The sequence below is a fragment of the Homo sapiens genome, chromosome 3, assembly GCF_000001405.40.
Source record: "Homo sapiens chromosome 3, GRCh38.p14 Primary Assembly".
NCBI lineage: Eukaryota > Metazoa > Chordata > Mammalia > Primates > Hominidae > Homo > Homo sapiens.
The window spans coordinates 13,762,054-13,780,549 of record NC_000003.12 but is presented as its reverse complement, the minus strand read 5'-3'; the positions used below and the strand labels follow the sequence as shown (position 1 = coordinate 13,780,549).

At 49.8% G+C, this 18,496-nt stretch overlaps 1 annotated feature.

Moving 5' to 3' along the window:
- Nucleotides 6,721-7,221: an enhancer, noted in NCBI's record as "H3K4me1 hESC enhancer chr3:13814826-13815326 (GRCh37/hg19 assembly coordinates)". NCBI's record gives its function as "activates a minimal SCP1, AML or CMV promoter by ChIP-STARR-seq in naive H9 embryonic stem cells {active_cell/tissue: H9 hESC(naive)}" and the evidence as "EXISTENCE:reporter gene assay evidence [ECO:0000049][PMID:30033119]".

Here is an 18,496-nt window from a genome sequence, read left to right as displayed (position 1 = left end):
CTCTGGGGTGCTTACAACAAGCTCACAGATGGGGCATTCACAATGCAGATTCCCGGGCCCTATTCCAGACCTACCGATTCCAAATCTCTGGAGACAAAGTTCATGAATCTGTATTTTAAACAAGTGACCCCGTGCATCCTGCAGTTTGAAGAGCATTGCCTAAAATAAGGCAATGCTTCTAACACTGTAGAATATTTGGCAGTTTGAGAACTTTGCAATAATCTGATTCCCCAATCTTTAGAATTGGGGAATATTCGATTTGGGAGGGAAGGGAGAATGTTTGGAATCCTTAGAACTTCCAAGTGTTTTGATTTTTAAAGAATCATTCAAACTTTCAAATGAGCAGACACTTCTGAGTGAATTTCTCCTGAGTCAGACACCCTTACACATCCTGCAAAACTTCTGCCCACTCCACATAGACCCTACTCTTTTTCTTTCATTTTTCAATTCAATCAGATACCATTTATCTTCCTTTTTAATGTTTTGGAATAATTTTAGACTCACAAGGTTTTCCTGTATAGTCTTGACTCAGTTTCCCCCATGTTTGTATCTTGCACAATAAAGTACAATGATTGAAACCAGGAAATTGTCATGAATAAAATCCTGTTAACCAACATAAAAACCTTATTAGAATTTTGCCAATTTTCCCGAAATGTCCTTCTTCTGGTCCCAAATCAGATCCAGATCCCATATTGCCTTTAGTTGTCATGTCCCTGCCAACTTGGGACCGTTCCTCAGTCGTGATTGGTCACTTATGTTTTACTTTATGTTTTTAAAGAACACAGCTCAGTTATTTTGTAGAGTTTGGATTCGGTTTGGATCTGTCTGATGTTTACTCATGATCAGAACGAGGTTATATATTTTTGGCAAGAATGTCACAGAAGTGACATGGGGTGCTTCCCAAGGCCTTGCACGGGGTCTACACAATGGTGTGTCTTACTACTGCCCACCTCTCCTGTCACCTATGTCTTTGCCTAAACCAACCCTCTTCTTTTAAACTTGCTGCCTGATTTAATGTAACCATAAGCGAGTAACATGTTTGACATGCTACAGCTACTAAAATAGAAAATATTTTTTTCCCTGTGCCACCTAAAATCGTCTCGCTGAACTCCAAGGCTACAGATATCACTTTTGACAAACATTGCTTTATATTATTTAACAAGTTTGTCCAGCCCTCAGCCCATAGGCCACATGCAGCCCAGGACAACTTTGAATGTGGCCCAACACAAATTCGTAAACTTTCTTGAAACATTATGAGATTTTTTTGTCTGTGATTTTTTTAAAGTAAGTTAGCTACTATTAGTCTTAGTGTATTTTATATGTGGCCCAAGACAATTCTTTTTCCAATGTGGCCCAGCAAAGCCAAAAGATTGAACACCCCTGTTATTTAGGATTTTTTTGAGTGCAAAGCGCTGCTTTGGTTTATTGATGATCATTACTGCTGTTGTTTTCAAAGAGTCATCAGAATCATCAGAACTCTTCACTGGATGGCTCGATTTTTCTTCAATGCGGTATGCTGACCACGATTAGGAGATAAGGTCTGAGTCTTCTATCTCAGTTTCCCAGCCTGTCTGCGCAGCCTCCGCAATTGCCTGAAGGGATGTAGCTTGCTAACAATGCAGATTTCTTGGCACCAAGAAATCCTGGCCTATTTAGTAGCTTTGGGGTGAGGACTTGGGCGCTACCATTTTAGCAATTCTGCAAGGTTGGGGTCCCCACCCATGTGGAGATACCTTTGTCCCTTCAGCAGCTTGTAGATGTGTCTTAGCCCACTCAGGCTGCTATAACAAAATACCATAAGACCAGGCATGGTGGCTGACACCTGTAATCCCTGCATTTTGGGAGGCCAAGGCAGGTGGACCACTTGAGCTCAGGGGTTACAGATCAGTCTAGGCAACATGGAGAAACGCTGTCTCCACCAAAAAAATACAAAACTTAGCTGGACACAGTGGTGTGCGCCTATAGTCCCAGCTACTCAGGAGGCTGAGCTGATAGGATCGCTTGTACTTGGGAGATCGAGGCTGCAGTGAGCCGAGAGTGCATCACTGCACTCCAGCCTGGGTGACACAGTGAGACCCTGTGGGAAAAAAAAAAACCATAGACTCAGTGGCTTATAAATAACAGAAATTTATTTCTCATAGTTCTAGAGGATGGAGGTCCAAGATGTAGGAGCCTGCAGATTGGGTGTCTGGTGAAGGCCCACTTTGTGGTTCACAGATGGCTTCCATCACTGTGTCCTCACATGGCATAAGGGGCCAGGGAGCTCTCTCAGGCCTCTTTCATAAGGCACTAATTTCATTCATAAGAACTCTGCCCCATAACCTAATCACCTCCCAAAGGCCCCACCTCCTAATGCCATCACCTTGTGGGGTGAGGATTTCAACATATGAATTTCACGGGGGGGGGTCACAAATACTCAGGCCATAGCACTAGGCATTTATCACACGTCAGCCGATCAATACATTTCCATAAAGGAAAAGTCAAGAAATCTGATAACCTAGGGGGTCTACCTCCCAAGAGGGGGCCATGAAATGAGAGCTCATGCAGAGGTTCGTGGAAGCCACCACATCTGCCCAGGCCACAGCATCTGACCCTGCCACATCCAAGCCATGTCTGCTCTACCTCCCAACCTCACATGGATACCACTCACTGGAAAAACTCTTCCCTGGTCCAAACAGGAAGGGATCCATGAAAACATTGTTCCCAGCCTTTGTTGTGTGCCAAGCTGAATGACAGATGATCCAACACGACACACTCTGTCCAGTCGGCATCCCACATACCTGTTTTAACTACATTTAACCTCTGAATGAAGACCATAACACTGCACTTGTGTCTAAGCCAACGCAAGTACCCCTCAACCAACTGGAAGCAACTACCTTCTCCCCTAAGAGGAGACACATGTTACACATGTCACTTCCCCTCTGCTACTGGAGGCACATGCCCCCTTTGATGTCTATAACTTTAATGCAAAGATACAGGTTCATTACTATTCATCTACTTTGTATTTCAACGGTATGGAAATAGGAGAGGAAGGAAAGAGAACGATGGTGGATGAATCTATACTGGTATATGCATAGAAAAGCAAGAAACACACTACACACACAAATTCTGCAGTCTCTATTTCTGCAACTAGTCACGTGGCTGTATTTGTAACTTCCATCTTCCCTTCCCTATTCCATATCCCCTTTGCCTTCATCTCAGCTTAGTTCCTAGGCTGATGGCTGCATTCCTGGAAGGATGATGTTATTTATGGTTCTGCCTATACCACGCTGCTATAGTTTTCTAGTAACAACAGGATTCAGGAGTACCAAGAGGTGCCCCAGAGAACACTTGTACCAGCTATACTCCCCTCTGCCTGCCCTCTGTTTCTGACCATCCATATCAATTGCCCTAGTCATTATAAAAACACCTTTCTAAGCCCATTGGTTCCGTGGTATGAAGGGCTAGGTGGCAGTTTTGACTTCCAATCAATGGACTGATTTTTTTATGTCTCCCAGTGGGAGCATTTGTTCCTTGAGAATCAAAATCTCTAAACCAGTATAGCATAAAGTCGTGGAGATAGGAAGCAAGCAATTGGTCAACGGGATGTTAGAGGTCATGGTAAGAAGATCCACTCCCAGTTCTAGCCCTTGATGTTCAGATCAGTGAATCCTGGTTGTGGAAGAAACCACACAGATATATTTGTCACTGTGTTAGAGCACATGCCACATCCTGTAGGACATTCCTTCAGCCCCACAAATTGTTGTCATGCAGTTGGGAGTCTTAAAGCAACCATTCCACAGTTCCATCAGGCCAGCTGCTTCAGGGAGATGGGGAGATGAAAAGACCAGTTAATTCCACAAACACAAGCCTGTTGCTGCACTTAATGCACTGTAAAATGAGCTCTCCTGGCCATATGCAGTGCTGTGTAGAATACTGTGGACAATGGGTTGAGCATTCTGTAGACCACAGATGATGGGTTTGGAAGAAGCAGTGCAGACGGAAGGCAAATACATATCCAGAAAAAGTGACAATTCCAGTGATGACAAATCATTCTCCTTCCATGATGGAAGTGGTCCAATGTCATCCACCTGCCACTAGGTGTCTGGCTGGTGTTCTGCCAGTAAGGGCATGGAGGAGCTCAGTGTTGGTGTCTGCTGCTGGCGGGATGGAATATCAGCAGTGCCTGCAGATAGATCACCCTTAATGAGTAGAAATCCATGTTTTTCTGAGCTCAAGCAGAACCTCAATTTCTGCCACCATGGCCACTTTGTTCATAAAGCCATTAGTCAATGGCAGATGTGACTGGGGAAAGAGGCTGACTGACATCCTCAAAACAGGTCATCTTGCCACCGGATTGCTGGGAGGTTCCTCTGCTGGGCTTGCCCTTTGGTGGGCACAATGATGAGACACCAGTGTCCTGACAGTGTGTGCTCATTTGCAAAGGTCTAGCCACATACTTCATCCCAGGCTTCCTTGTCACTCATTTTCCAATAGTGTTCCTTCCATCCTGCCATGTTCCTGATCATCCACCCAAATAATTAGCCCGTTGCACATGGACCTATGTAGAAAAACCCTTATCTCTCCCTGAAGGCAAAAAGGCCATCCAGATACACTGTTCAAGTTCTTTCCACAAAGAGAATTTCTATTCACCGCTGTCCTCAGGGCCACCCTGAGTGGAGCTATAGTGCTGTCGCTATCTGTGGAATGGTGTCAACACATGATGCAGAGTCATCTGTAAGCTGGGGTGAATGTTTTCTTCCACCACCAAGTAGTCATAGCAATCTCCCCACAAAACATAGGTATGAGGAGAGGAGAAGCAGGTGACACAGGAGTCTGAGTTGCTTGTTTCTACGACTCACTTTTGTCTTCAGCACTTGTTCCAGCCCAGTGTTACGTGTGCCATTTCCACCTGCAAATGGGATGCTTCTGAGTTCACCCAGCCCTGTGCCTGGTGAGCCAGACAGCACTCAAGCCATGACAGGCAGCTTGGCGGTATGGTAACTTTGTGGCCCATGATCGAGCATTCAGTCTCTCCCAGCTCTACCAGTAACAAACCAGAAACTCTTTCTCCAAAGGAAAATAATTCTCCGCAGACGATCATATGGCTCTGCTCCAATACCCCAAGGATCCTCCCTGCAATTCACCTATAGAAGCTGCCAAAGGCTCCATGTAGCTTCACTATCTGCCGCTGCCACTCAAAACACCATTGGGTCTGCTGGGTCATATGGCCCAAGTGACAAGGCCTTTTGTACAGCAACCTGGACTTATTGCAGAGCCTTTTCTTGTTTGGGGTCACATTCAAAACTGGCAGCAATCTGGGTGAGAGCCACACACTCAACATTGTCCTCAACAATCCAAAGCCCCAATAGGTATGTTTTCTTCCTTGGTGGCAAGAGGAGCAAGGTGCAGCCATCTAGCCATCTTCACCCAGGAAGGGATACCCTGACAGGCCCCAACTTACGGGACCCCTAGAAGTTTCGCCAAGGTGGCAGGTTCCTGAATTTTTCTGGGGCTTCTTTCCTGTCTCCTCACAACATGGATCTGAGCAAGGTGTCTAAGATGTTCCTGGTTCTCATTTCCCAGGACCAAATGGCATGTCATCAATGAAGCAGACCAGCGTGGTGGCCTGCAGGATGGCTGAGTGCTCTGGATTTCAAGGGAGGGCTGGTGAATTGTTAGAACACTGAGGGAAAGAAGGGCAGGAGTGCTGCTGCCCCTCCAGATGGCAGCCAGAGGCTTCCAGGGCCCCTTGAATGAGGAAATCAAAGAAAGCAGGTGCCACCAGCTGCAAGGGGCTATACTGATTTGCTCTAGGTTAAAAACAAGCAAACAAGCATGGGGCAGCTGCCACGATTGAGCCACCATCTCATTAAGTTTATAACAATCCGGCCAAGCGCAGTGGCTCACGCCTGTAATCCCAACATTTTGGGAGGCCAAGACGGGTGGATCGCTTCAGTCTAGGAGTTCCGGACAGCCTGGGCAACATGGCAAAACCCCAACACTACAAAAATACAAAAATTAGCCAGTCGTGGTGGTGCATGTCTGTGTTACCAGCTATTTGGGAGGCTGAGGTAGAAGGATCACTTGAGCCTAGGAGGTATAGGTCACCGTGAGCCCAGATCGCACCCTTGCTAAACACTTACAGGCACCTCACTTGTTGGGCAATCCCACACCCACTGGTGGTCAGCCCCAGCCAGGCAATAGGACAGGCACTCAGCCACGGGTCCCTCAACCCAAGTAGGAACCATAAAACTGCACAGCTGCAAATACACCCACCCACTCATCCCACACACATGTTCATCTCTCTCTTTCTCTTTCTCTCTTTCTCTCTCTCTCTCTCTCTCTCACACACACACACACACACACACACACACACCCTATCTGGGCTCAGACCAAATATAGATACTCATACCCACCCAGTCATACACAAATAGCCCTCACACCTTCACCCCTGCGCACTCACAGCTCTCTCCCTCACTGCCACTGACTCAGCACCTCCCCGTGGTGCTAAGCACACACCGTGTACACATCCCACCCCACACACAGTCTCCCCACCTCTTCCAGTAGCTGCCCAGTTGAGCCACACACTCACAGTCCAGCACTGCCACACACCCAAACCAAATGCACCGACAACCCCACAGCACAGACACATACCATCATGCTGTGGTGCATGCGCACCCACAGTCGGCCCCCACTAAAGATCAACCCCCGCCCTCCTCCAAGACACACTCAGATGCGCAGGCACACGCTGCCCTGACACACACACTGAGCACACTCAGATGCACACCCACCTGCTCAGATATGTCCCATCTAAATTCACTCACACATCCAGTTCCGCTCAGCCACTGCAGTGTGCAGCCACTACACTGCACACACACACGTGCACACACGTGTGCACACTCACGCTCTCCCAGCCACAGCAGCACAGGGCTTCCGTTGCCTCCAATGGACTCTCACCTTTCCCAGATGATCTGCAGGCCCCAGAGCAGCTGGGCATCCTCTCCCGATGGCAGGCAAACTCCAGTGCCAGGTGCCTGGACAGGTGGCCATGAGGGGCAGTGACCTCCTAGTGCCCCCAGCAACCCCTGCTGCTTGTGTCCCAGGCCCTGCTCAACCCTCTCCCAATTTTTGGAACCACATAAAATATTAAGATAAAAATAATTCCCAGGAGGCAGATCCTTTGGTAATTATGTGCAGGTGTGGAATCACTCCTGGCTCCCTGGCTGCCCACCACCCTACCTCCCATGTATGGGGGGTGATCATTCCAAAGCCAGCCACCCATTAATCCCTGTAACGGGCCAGGCCTGCCCGCCTGCCCGCCCGCCTGGCAGCCCACACTCAAAACCCAGCTCCCCAGGAAAGCAGGGGAGCGCGCCCAGCAATCCCATGGGGCCAGGCCTGGCGCCATTTGCAAGGGCCTCACGCTCACCCTGCGAGGGAAGCTCTGTGATTCATACCCACCTCCCAGAGCAGGAAACTGAGGCTGTGAGCAGGGCTATGACATGCCCAAAGTCACAGGTAATCTGGGGGCACCCCACCCCCTGGTCCTGCAGAATGCGGCTTCTTCCCCGTCTGCATCTCCCAGCAGAAAGAGCAGAGACAGGCAGGGAGTCACCGGAGGAGGAACCAGGCTGGAGATAGGCTTCAAGGAGCAGCTGGAGAATTCATCATGGTCCCCAGTCCCTGTAGGGCTGTTTTACATCTCTGTCCCCAAGGACAGAGTCCTGGCCTGGGAAGGGGCAGGGTCACAGGAAGACAAACTCAACTTGCCCTGTGGAGAGCAGCTATCCCCATCCTGAGCCGCTGTGAAGAAGCAACTGCCTCGTGCTGGGAGGTGTGCAAGCTGGGGCTGGCCAGCCATCCTCTGCGGGGACTATCTTAGCTGGATTGGTGGCTGGCTGACCTTCCAGCACCCCTGCAGCAGGGATACCCAGGGTCCCTTGTTCTCCTCATCACTCCAGGTGGCCCCATTCTGAGTACCCTGGGAGCAGCAGCCACCATGCCCGCCATGACCACAGAGTCTATGGAAGGCCACATCCACTCGGGAGCAGCCAGGCCCCCGACAAGCCCTCCTGCCAGCTTCCACCACTACCCAGGGTCCCCAGCTCCCAGCCTCATCGTCCTCCTTGCTGCCCCAAACACCCCTACACCTTTGCCTGGCTCTTCTCCCCCTGGGCTGCCCTGCCCTGCCCTGCAGACACCCATGCAGCCTTCTCACCAGTGGGAACACGTCTGCCCCTGGGAATCAGTCCTTCTTCTATCAACCCCAGCAGTGGCCACCCCTGCCCTGGAAGCCAACAGTGCCCCTCTGACACCCTCCCATCATCCGTCTCACTTCACTGGAGCTATCTGACATCCCTCTCAAGGACCCCCCGTGCCATGTCCACTTGTGTGTCCCCAAGCCCCTCTGGCCCCCGCCCCCACCCTGAGGCTTGGAGACTTCCTGCCCAAGCCAGTCTCAGCTCCTGCATTCGCACCACCTCCATAGGAATGGTGAAGACAGTGGGCTCATTCTGGAGGCGATTCCTTTCATCCGCTGTCCAGCTCTGGTGCTGGTCAGGAAAGGGCTGTGCCCAGCTCCCCTGCCCGCTGGAGCTCCCAAGACAGCCTCATGGAGGACACCCCATTTTGAACCTTTAGGCAGAAAACAAGACCCTCATAGGACAGACAGGGAAACTGAGGCTCCTGCCGCCCATAGGCAGAGGCAGTGTCTGGACCCGAGATCAGTTCTCATCTCCCTGTAGTACTCTGGCCACCCACCGTGGGCTCACCCCTCCCTTCCTCCCCGCCTTCCCTCAAGGTTAAGCACTTGAGCACAATGCGGGCACAGGGCACCCCTTCATTCATTCATAATCTCTACATGTGTGGGGTACAGCAGCCACAAAACGGGCACAAATCCCTGCCCTCACAGAGCTGGTGTTTTCCTGGGGAGGGTGGATAATAAACAGATGAACAAGTAAACCCGCGATGTGGCAGACGGGTGAGGGCCAGGAAGAAAACCAGGTCAGGTGATGGTGCCCCAGTGTGTGAGGCACCTGTGTAATTCTACACTTTCTCATAGCTGCTTGGACAAAAGCAAGAAGAAACGGATGGAACTAATATTAACAATATAGGTGATTTAACCTATTAGGTCCAAATATTATCATGTCAACATGCCATCAATGCAAAAAATGATTAATAAGTTATTTTGTCGTTTTCATGCCATGTCTGTGAAATCAGTGCATACTGGACATTATGCACACCTGGACTGTCACTGGGCACATTTCAGGTACTCAAGACTACACATTGCTTGTGGCTGCTGTATTGGACAGTGCATGTCTAGGGGACTGCGGAGCAGCTAGGGGTGTTTCTCATACAAGGGTGGTCGGAGAAGGCCTCTCGGAGGAAGTGATTTCTGATCAGGGCCCTGGAAACAAAGCAATAAACCAGGCAGCTGAATGGGGAAGACTTACCCCAGGCAGAAGAAACAGCAGGGGCAAAGGCCCTGAGGCAGGCTCAGGGCAGCAGCTGGAGCAGAGTGAGCAGGAGGGAGACTGGAGGAGACCTGGCTCAGTCAGGGCTGTGGCCTCTGTGAGAATTCCACTTTTCCTCTCAGCAGGCGGGAGCTATGCAGGGTGTTAGGCAGACAGCTTGGCCCCAGCCTGGCTCAGGTTTGAAGAAAGCACAGGGCATCACTGCACAAGCTTTAGCCCCAGATGGCCAGGTGTGAAGTTCACTGCACAGTGCCAGGCACGTGGTGGGCATCCTCTAAAAGCAAAAGTTAGCCCACGCTCCATGAGTCTGATTCTTCAGGTAACACACATCCCAGGTGCCAAGGCTCTGGGCTTCTCTACTTCTTGAAAAAAGGGGTTGGGGGGATCTCTTGGCCTCCCACCCTCCAAGCTTTTCTGACTTTGGCCTATTTCCACATTCCTGGAATTGCTGCAGGTGATAAATGGCTCTGCAGCCAGGCTGTCCTCAGGCATTCTGACATGCAGCCTCCACTTCCTCTGCCCTATGGTGGGAGGGGGCTGGGCAGGGCCTCTGACCCCACCAGGAAGCTGCAGCACCCTATCCTGGCCTCAGGGCTCCCCACCCCCACCCCATCGTGCAGGGACAACCCAGCCTCTGATTCCTGACTCCTGAGCATAGGGCCATGGGCAAGGCCTTCTCCCCTCTGGTCTGCATATTCTCTGCTCTGTACAGAACCCACGGCCTCATTCATCCAATAAATACTTAGTGAGTGCCTGTTCCTAGCCCATACTGCTGTAGCTATGGGGATTAAAGAATGGACGAGACAGACAGAGGCGCCTGCCCTGTGGAATGGGCCTTCCAGGTTGTAGAGGTCACTTAGCGACCCCCTAGTCCTCATTTCATGGGATACTCAGAACCCCTGGTCTCTCTGACCGCATGTCAGGGAAGACCCTCTTCTTGCCCACCCTGCAACCCAGAATGGCATCTTCTCAGGGCTTCCCCACTCTGGAGGGAAAACCCCATACGAGAGTTTTAGGCTAGAAGCAAGAAGGACTCACTGATCACCTGGGGAACAAACCCTGAAATAGGAAAGGAAAATGCATTTTAAAAATATGCATTACTAGAAAAAAAGAAAAGAAAAGGTGTACTGGCCAGATCCCATCTGTTAATAGCAGCTAACTCTTGGGGAAGGCTGCAGGATTCTGAGTCTTTGCTGGTCTTTTACTGTCCTATTTTCCAGGTTTTCTGCTATGCATATATATCTACTGTATACTCAAGGGTTTAACCAAGAAAGACAATAAAATGTGATAAAACAATCCCAGTTTTAAAAACTAGCACCCCTTGAACCTCCTGGCATAAGTGCGTCTGGCTGGCAGGACCAGAAACTCACGAGACGGTGCCACTGCTCAGACTGACCCTAACCCGGGAAGCTGGGAGATTGGGATTGGACGCCAGAGCAGGGCCTGTGGAAAGGGAGAAAAGGCAGGACAGCCCTGTGAGGGAGGCAAGGGCACAGCCAGCCGTGAAGGGTGAGGTCAGCGGAGGGCATGGGGGTCAGGAGCCCCAGGCCCTGCACTGGTCCTGTAGGCACTGGGAAGTCACTGAAGGCATGTGAGCAGGAGAGGGTGGTGGTCTAGAAGGAACAGCAAGGCCTCTCCCAAGTTCCTCTTCCATTCTCCTTTACGGCATTGCAGCCACACTTCTTCAGAAGTCCTCAGCCTTCTCTGAAAGGGGCTCTCGGGCCCAACAGCCCAGGTTCAAATCCTAAGTTTACACTTCCTAGCTGCGTGTGGTGTCCTCAGCCTGTGAAAATACCAACCTTGTGGTTGGCTGAGAGCCTTAGGTGAGTTAAAACATGAAAAGCACTGGAAACAGGGCCTGGCATACAGTAAGTGCTTAATAAATGCTGGTCACTGTTATTCCCTCCCCATAGCATCAGCAGGTTTTAATCTCTTGTATCACTTTGAAAGTTTCCCTAAGGCAAAGACCGGCTCAGACTGGGTCTGTCACCAGGTAGGTGCCGAGAATTATTTGTCAGACAAAGCAGTAAGCAGCCATCTTGCCTTCCCTCCAGAGACAGAGTCCAAGGCCCCCTCCTCTCTTTATCTGAGGTGCCTTGCACAGGCCAAGCCCATGGCTGCTGGGAACCAATACCTGGGGGTCCCGTGAAGATAGGGCCACGACTCCACTCAGCTCTTTCTCTATCTCTCTTGTCTCCTCCGGAACTCTGTGAGGGAGGCGACTCTTATCTCCACCTTACAGAAGAGGAAACTGAGGCTCAAAGGCGTGAAGGGCCTGCTCTAGACGAAGCCCACCAACCCAGTCCTTCTGTCAAGGGTCCCCTGCAGTGCCTTGTGCAGGCCTGGCACCTACTGGGCACTGTAATACATCTTCCAAGGCAAAGGAGACTCGGCTGGAGAGGGCGGAGCCCGGGTGGGGGTAGGGGTGGAGAAAAGAGAAGCCCTCTGGTTTTCCAGGTAATGAAGCCGGCCAGGAACACCAGGTGAGGAGCAGCAGAGATAGCAGGGGCGCCTCTGGCCTTTCATCTGGAGCCCACGGCCCGGCCTTCCTCCCCAACTCCTCAGTGGGGGGCCCCATGAGCGCTCACCTGGAGCTATAAACGGGCTGGTTCTGAGGCCCACCTGTGCCTGGCAGGTTTGCCAAGACCAGAGAGCAGGAGGGTCCCAAGAAGGAAGCGTCGCTCACCTCCGGCTCCCCATGCCAAACTTCTGAAGCCCTAAAAAGCTCCCAGACCTTCCCTCTGCCAAACCTCACCTGCCTGCCTGTCAGCCACCCCCTCCCCCAGCCCAGCTGGGGTTGGAAGCCTGGAAGCCTGGCTGGGTATCTGTTAACCAGAGACCAGACCCCTCCAAGCCTCAGTTTCCACCTTGGGAAAGGGCAGGGAGAGCATTCCAGGGTATGTCAAGGAGACAACTCCAGTCTGGGGGTGTTAATGCCAAGGGTCCACCCTGAGGTCTGGCCAGGCCTTCCCAGCTGTGGGGAGGAAGCTGGCATCCTCACGCCCAGGGCTGTCAGCTGCTCTGCGGTTCTGAGCTGGAGTGGAGTGCAGCAGGCAGGCTGGCTGGGTGGTCCCTAGGGAGGCAGCCGGGAAACCAGGCCCTGACAGCAGGCTCAGCCTTGACCTGGGGCTGTGTGGATGCTGTCGGCTCCATCCCAAGACAATGACAGGAGGCTGGGAGCTCTGTTTATTGAGCACCTGTTGTATGCCAGAAGCATTAGAGAGGCCAGGCCCCAGGCAGGGGTCAGGAGGCTGGGAATTCTAACCCAGATCTGAAGCTCTGGATCCCAGCAGCAACTGGGAATCAGTTTTCCGCAGGTGGGGCCCACCCAGAGAGGGCACCAATGCAGCTTTCCTTGTGCCTTTTTTCACCGTGCACCAGAGAGCTGAGATTCAGAAGATGGATTTTCTAGAAAAACAGGTATGGAGTGGAATGATGGGTGCGTACCCTGCCCTAGCATAGGGGAGCGATGAGCCTCACCTCACGATAATAGTTGGCCCATGCGAGTATTTTCTTTCCTTTCCTTTCTTTTCTTTTCTTTTTTTCTTTTTCTTTTTTCTTTTTTTTTTTGTCTTCAAAGTGACTTGCAGAACCCAGGCTAATTAATTTTCCCCAGAGCAGTGAGGGCCATCACCTGTCTCCTACCCCAGTGTCCCACCCCAGCCCCCAAGCACATCTGAGGGAAGGAGATAGCAGAGAGGATAATTCAGCTGGCAGAAGCCTGGGGGAGGAATGAGGGTGGGACTGGCCCCCAGGAGGCAGCCCGAGGTGCAGGGGGAGAAGCGGGATTAGAGGAAGCAGGAGGGCTGGGCGCAGGCAGGCCTCCACCCGCCCATCAGCAGCAGGCACCTGGCCCACCTTTGCAGAGTCGCCTCCACCACTGGAACATCCATTGTGCCAGCACCACCTCTGGACTGTGCTCTGCTCAGGGGAGAGACCATCCTGGCCTCTGCCCTAGGTCTGGCAGCTGAAAACATTTGCTCATTCATTCACTCACTTACCTTGCTCATTTAGCTAACCAACAAAAATGGTTAGCCCCTGGTCTGAGCCCCCCGGGCCTTGCATTAGGAACAGGGGGTACAAACAACAATGAAACCCAGTCTCTAGCTCTGGGGAGGGCCCAGTCTATAGCAGGATAGACCATCAGTCAACAGGAATGAGCAGTGGGGCAGAAGGAAGCACAAATGAGAGATGGAGCAGAGGCCCGGAGGCTTGGAGCCTCAGAGGAGTTTCACAGAAGAGGCAACACCTGGGCTTTGAGGGGTAAGTAGGAGTTTGCCAGGAAGATATGAGCAGATAGGGAGGGCATTTAGGTAGAGAAGACAGCAAGTACAAAAACATGGAGTTAGATAGGGTCTGAGGTGTCTGGGAAGCAAGAGGAGTGGAGGGAGTGAAGATGGGGACGGGTTGTCCATGGTGGGGCATGCAACTCTTGGGGCCTCAAGCAGTGCTTCCCAGCTTTCACCCCATCCTACCATGGTGTGCAGAGAGATGGTGGCATGCATTGGCTCGTCTCATCATTGGTGGGAAATAGAAGGCACTGAGGCCACTCGGCCCCCTCCAGCTACCTGGAGTCAGCTCGGTACAGATGCTCCATGGTTTACAATAAACCCAGCACAAATCAAAAATAAACCTCACCTACCAAACATGGTAGCTTAGCGAGCCTCCCTTACACACATTCAGAACACTTACGTTAGCTACAGTTGGCACAAGTGTCTAATGCAAAGCCTATTTCATCATAGGGTGTGGAATATCTCATGTGATGTACTGAATACCGTACTGAAAGTAAAAAGCAGAATGGTCATGTGGTCATTCAAAGTATGCTTTCTACTGAATGCATGTCCAGTAGCACCATTGGAAAGTTGAAAAGTCCTAAGTTCAACCATCATAAGTTGAGGACTGTCTGTACACTAAAAGCTGTTTGTCACTCACTGGTTAGGAAGTTTTGTCTAAAACATTAGTGTTGACTGAATAAGAAGTTCCAAGATAAGGCCCCTGGGCTTGTTCAGGGGTTCAGTATTGTCCCTGAGGACGTAAGTCTTTCTAATTCCACACTCTGCTACTCTTTGCATGCCATGATATCACAAGACCTCATGGTCACAAGATAGCTGCTACAGCTCCAAACATCATTGCATGATAGCAGCTCAAAGCAAAAAGTGAGGAGAGAAAAAAGGGCTTTCTCCACACATGTCCCTTTCTAAGAAAATCATTCCCAGGAGCCCTTGGAGGTCTTTCCCTTAAGCCCTATTGGCCAAAGCGGAGTTTCGTGACCATCCCTGGACCCATCCCTGGCAAAGGAGAGTGGGCCTGCCAAAATCAGCCAAATCCAATGAGAATGTATTCTCAGAATTAGCCACCAAACAGTCACAGCAACAAAATCTGGATTCTTTTATTTATTTATTTATTTTTATTTATTTATTTATTTTTTTGAGATGGAGTTTCGTTCTTGTTACCCATGCTGGAGTGCAATGGCATGATCTTGGTTCACTTCAACTTTCAACTTTCACCTCCCAGGTTCAAGCAATTCTCCTGACTCAGCCTCCCAAGTAGCTGGGATTACAGGTGCCTGCCACCACGCCCAGCTACTTTTGTATTTTTAGTAGAGATGGCGTTTCACCACCATGTTGGCCAGGCTGGTCTTGAACTCCTGATCTCAGGTGATCTGCCTGTCTCAGCCTCCCAAAGTGCTGGGATTACAGGCATGAGCCACCGCACCTGGCCAATCTGTATTCTTTAAACCAGCAAAAACAAAATCGTTTCTGATAAACCCTTACATTTTAAAATACACATTTTTAAAACCTCTTTTCTCACATTCTGCTCCCTGATCCTGCTATATTTTTCTTGTCTGCTCTTAACTCCACATAATCTTATTTTTTTTTTGTTTGCTTTATCTTCTATCTCCCAACTGGAGTATCAATTTCATGCGATGGGGAATCTGTCTGTTCAGATTCATTACTCTATACCTGGCCTCTAGAGCAGGGTCTGGCAGACAGTAGGTGCTCAGTAAATATTTGTTGAATGAAGAAATGAATAAACTAGCAGGTGAGGGCAGGAAGTAATGGGGTAGAATCTGGAACAATCAGTGGGTCCAAGGCACCAAGGACCTGAGTGTCCAACGAGAGATGGGAGCGACTTAGGGTCTGATTGAGCGGGGGCTAGACAAGCAAGGTTAACTGCGAATTTGGGGACTATTTCCTCTTGGCAGAAAGTGTCAGGGCTGGACTGGAGGGGCACAGCTGGGGCCAGGAGGAATTGTTGCAATAGTGCAGATTGGAGTGGTTATCACCTGAAACAGGCAGGTAGTAAGCAGAGTGATTTTCCATTCCCTTCCATGTTCAAGCCTCTCAGATGTTGGCTCCAACACTTCTTCCCAGAATGTCCTTCTCAGACTCCACACCTAAGCCCTCTTCACCATCAGGGCCCTGCTCAGTTCCTCATCCTCCAGGAAGCCCTCTACACTGCCTTGAAACAGCACAGGGCCTGTGTTGAGCCTTGCATCTGAGCCCTAGTCTGTGACTTCTGTTATATATTCACTGGGCTTTTGGGACACACAGCAGGTGTCCGGGCAATGCTGGAGGGAGACAGCTAGAGACCGTTAGAGATCACTTCAGGCTTCTGGATGATGACACTGGCCTTTCGGGGGATGAGGGAGCTTAGAAGCAATGTGAGGCAACCCACGGAGGCTGCTAAAGCAGGCAGGGCTAGGAGGGCCTGATACCCAGCATCCTGGAGTGCAAGGAAGGGCGGGGGATGGAGGGCCTGGCTGAGGACCGCAGAAGAGACAAGAGGAGAACTGTCTGCTGAGTGCCTGCCTGCTGTGAATGCACCATCTTACCTGACATTAAAAAGCCCCACTTTACAGAGCAGAAAACCGAGGCTCAGGGAGCAGTCTGCCCATGGCTACGCAGAGTCCACCGTGGTTCCTGCAGCTGTCAGACTCTTTTCTAGACTAGAGCTTTTCAAAGGCAGTTGTATCGCCCCAGGGGCATGTGGACATTCATGGGGTGTCTATGTCGACCAGTGGTTGGCAGGTGGAGCTACTCCCAGTTTGCAGAGAGCATCCTGGGATGCTGGACATTGGACCTATGATGACCAGTGTCCAGAGTTTCACTCAATTTTCCATTTAAACAGAGTAGCTTTATTATTTGCAAGGTTTTTTAACGCACATGAACTTACCAGGTATGATAGCAGGTATCCAAGGATAGCTATGCTTTCTATTCCTAGGACTTTTCCAAGAATGCTTCACTCTTTCAGAAAATCACCTGCAGCCCCCAGTAACCTATGAACCATCCCTGTGTCTGTCTGTGTTTGCCGTTGTTGTATTCGTGGTGAACTCTATGCATATGTATAAATGTATATTTTTAGCCCTTTATTTCAAAGGATCACATTATTCAGTTAGAGTGTCTTATTTCTCTTAAATCTACATGTATTCATTATTAAACAGGCGCAATCATTTGACAACTTTATCCTCCCTTTTGGAGTAGTCTTAATCAAGCATTTATGTAACGAAATACATGTTATTTTCTCACAGGTTATTTTTCTTATTATTTCACTTTAATACGACAACTGGGGAATTATGTTGTTTTGTTTAAATTATGGGTTGCAAGTAGATAATATTATGCAGAATTTGATTTCTGGAGAGAAAAGGAACCATTACAATATACTTGTTTGAAAGGGGAGACAGCAGTTTGAGCTCTAAGCCATGGGAGCCTAGCCCAGAAGGTGGCTCAAAATGACACTGTCTAGGGAACAGATAGGGGCAGAGGTGAGGATAGGAGAAGATGAAGGGAGCTCCTAAAGCAAACCACAACTTACCAAATTGCCTGGATTGAGCTGAGATGACTATATATATAAAAAGATCTACGAGGTTACAGATGATGATAATTTCCTCCTGGGACACAGTGAAGAAAGGCGTGGGAAGGACGTTGAGTCAGCCCTTGGCCACAGGGTAGCAGTGTTAGCACAAGACAGCTTGGTTGCAGCTCAGACCCTGTGGAGGATGTGGAGGGAAGCAGGCGACCGGGTTTCCACGCAGGCACAGAGCCAGGCATTTGTATGTATAAGCCAGTCAAAGGCAAGTATCTTGTGATCTCCACACTGACTGCACTGTGTTTTACATATGTGCGTAAGTTCTTTTAAAAATTCAATTAGAAATATATGTAAATTGGTCTGTCATACAGACTTGGAATAACTATTGTGTAGGACCCTTTTAGTTGCATGTGACAGAAAACCTAACCTAACCTAGAAGGGATTTTTAACAACTTTTAATTATTTTATTTTGTTATTCTTTTGCTCACATAATTTAAAAGGTATGGATCTGCCTTCAGGGTCAAATGATGTCACTGGCACGGATGTCTCTTACTCCTTCTATGGGGTCTACACCTTCTGTACTGGCTCCATTCTCAGGCAGGCTCTTCTTTTGGGGCGAAGGGAGGACTATAGAGGTGTCAACACTATATCTTCCCAGCTCAAAGTCCCTGGGGGCAAAGACAACACAAAGACCTGGAATTGTTGTAATTTCTGATTGGCTAGACCTCAGGTATGTGATAATCCTCGAACCAATCACTGTGGCTGAGGAAGTGATGCACAGATTGTATGGGGCCAGAGCCACTGAGCCAGGGTGGAACCCACCAGGAGCCTGGGGACTAGCCATTGTATGTAGAGGAGTGAATTCACAAAACAAGATGGGGCATGTGCCAGAGAAGGAGTAATGGGTGCTGCAGAGACAAACACTATGGAGAAAGCCTAGATGATGAGGGTGATGATGACTCAAACCTCACATTTACTGAGAACTCAGTTCATAACGCCTGCACTCTTTGGGGCATTTTCCCACTATTAATCTCATTTAGTCCACTCATTTAGTCCCCATTTTACAGATGGGAGAAACTGAGGCATGGATACTATGGGTAACTTTCCCAATATTACACAGCTGTATAAGTGGTTCAAAGTCAACCCTCCCTCCACCAGATCATGCGGCCACTCTAAGGAGATGGGGTCTTTATTGAAGTTTATTATATAGTCAGGGAGAGAAATTCAGACAT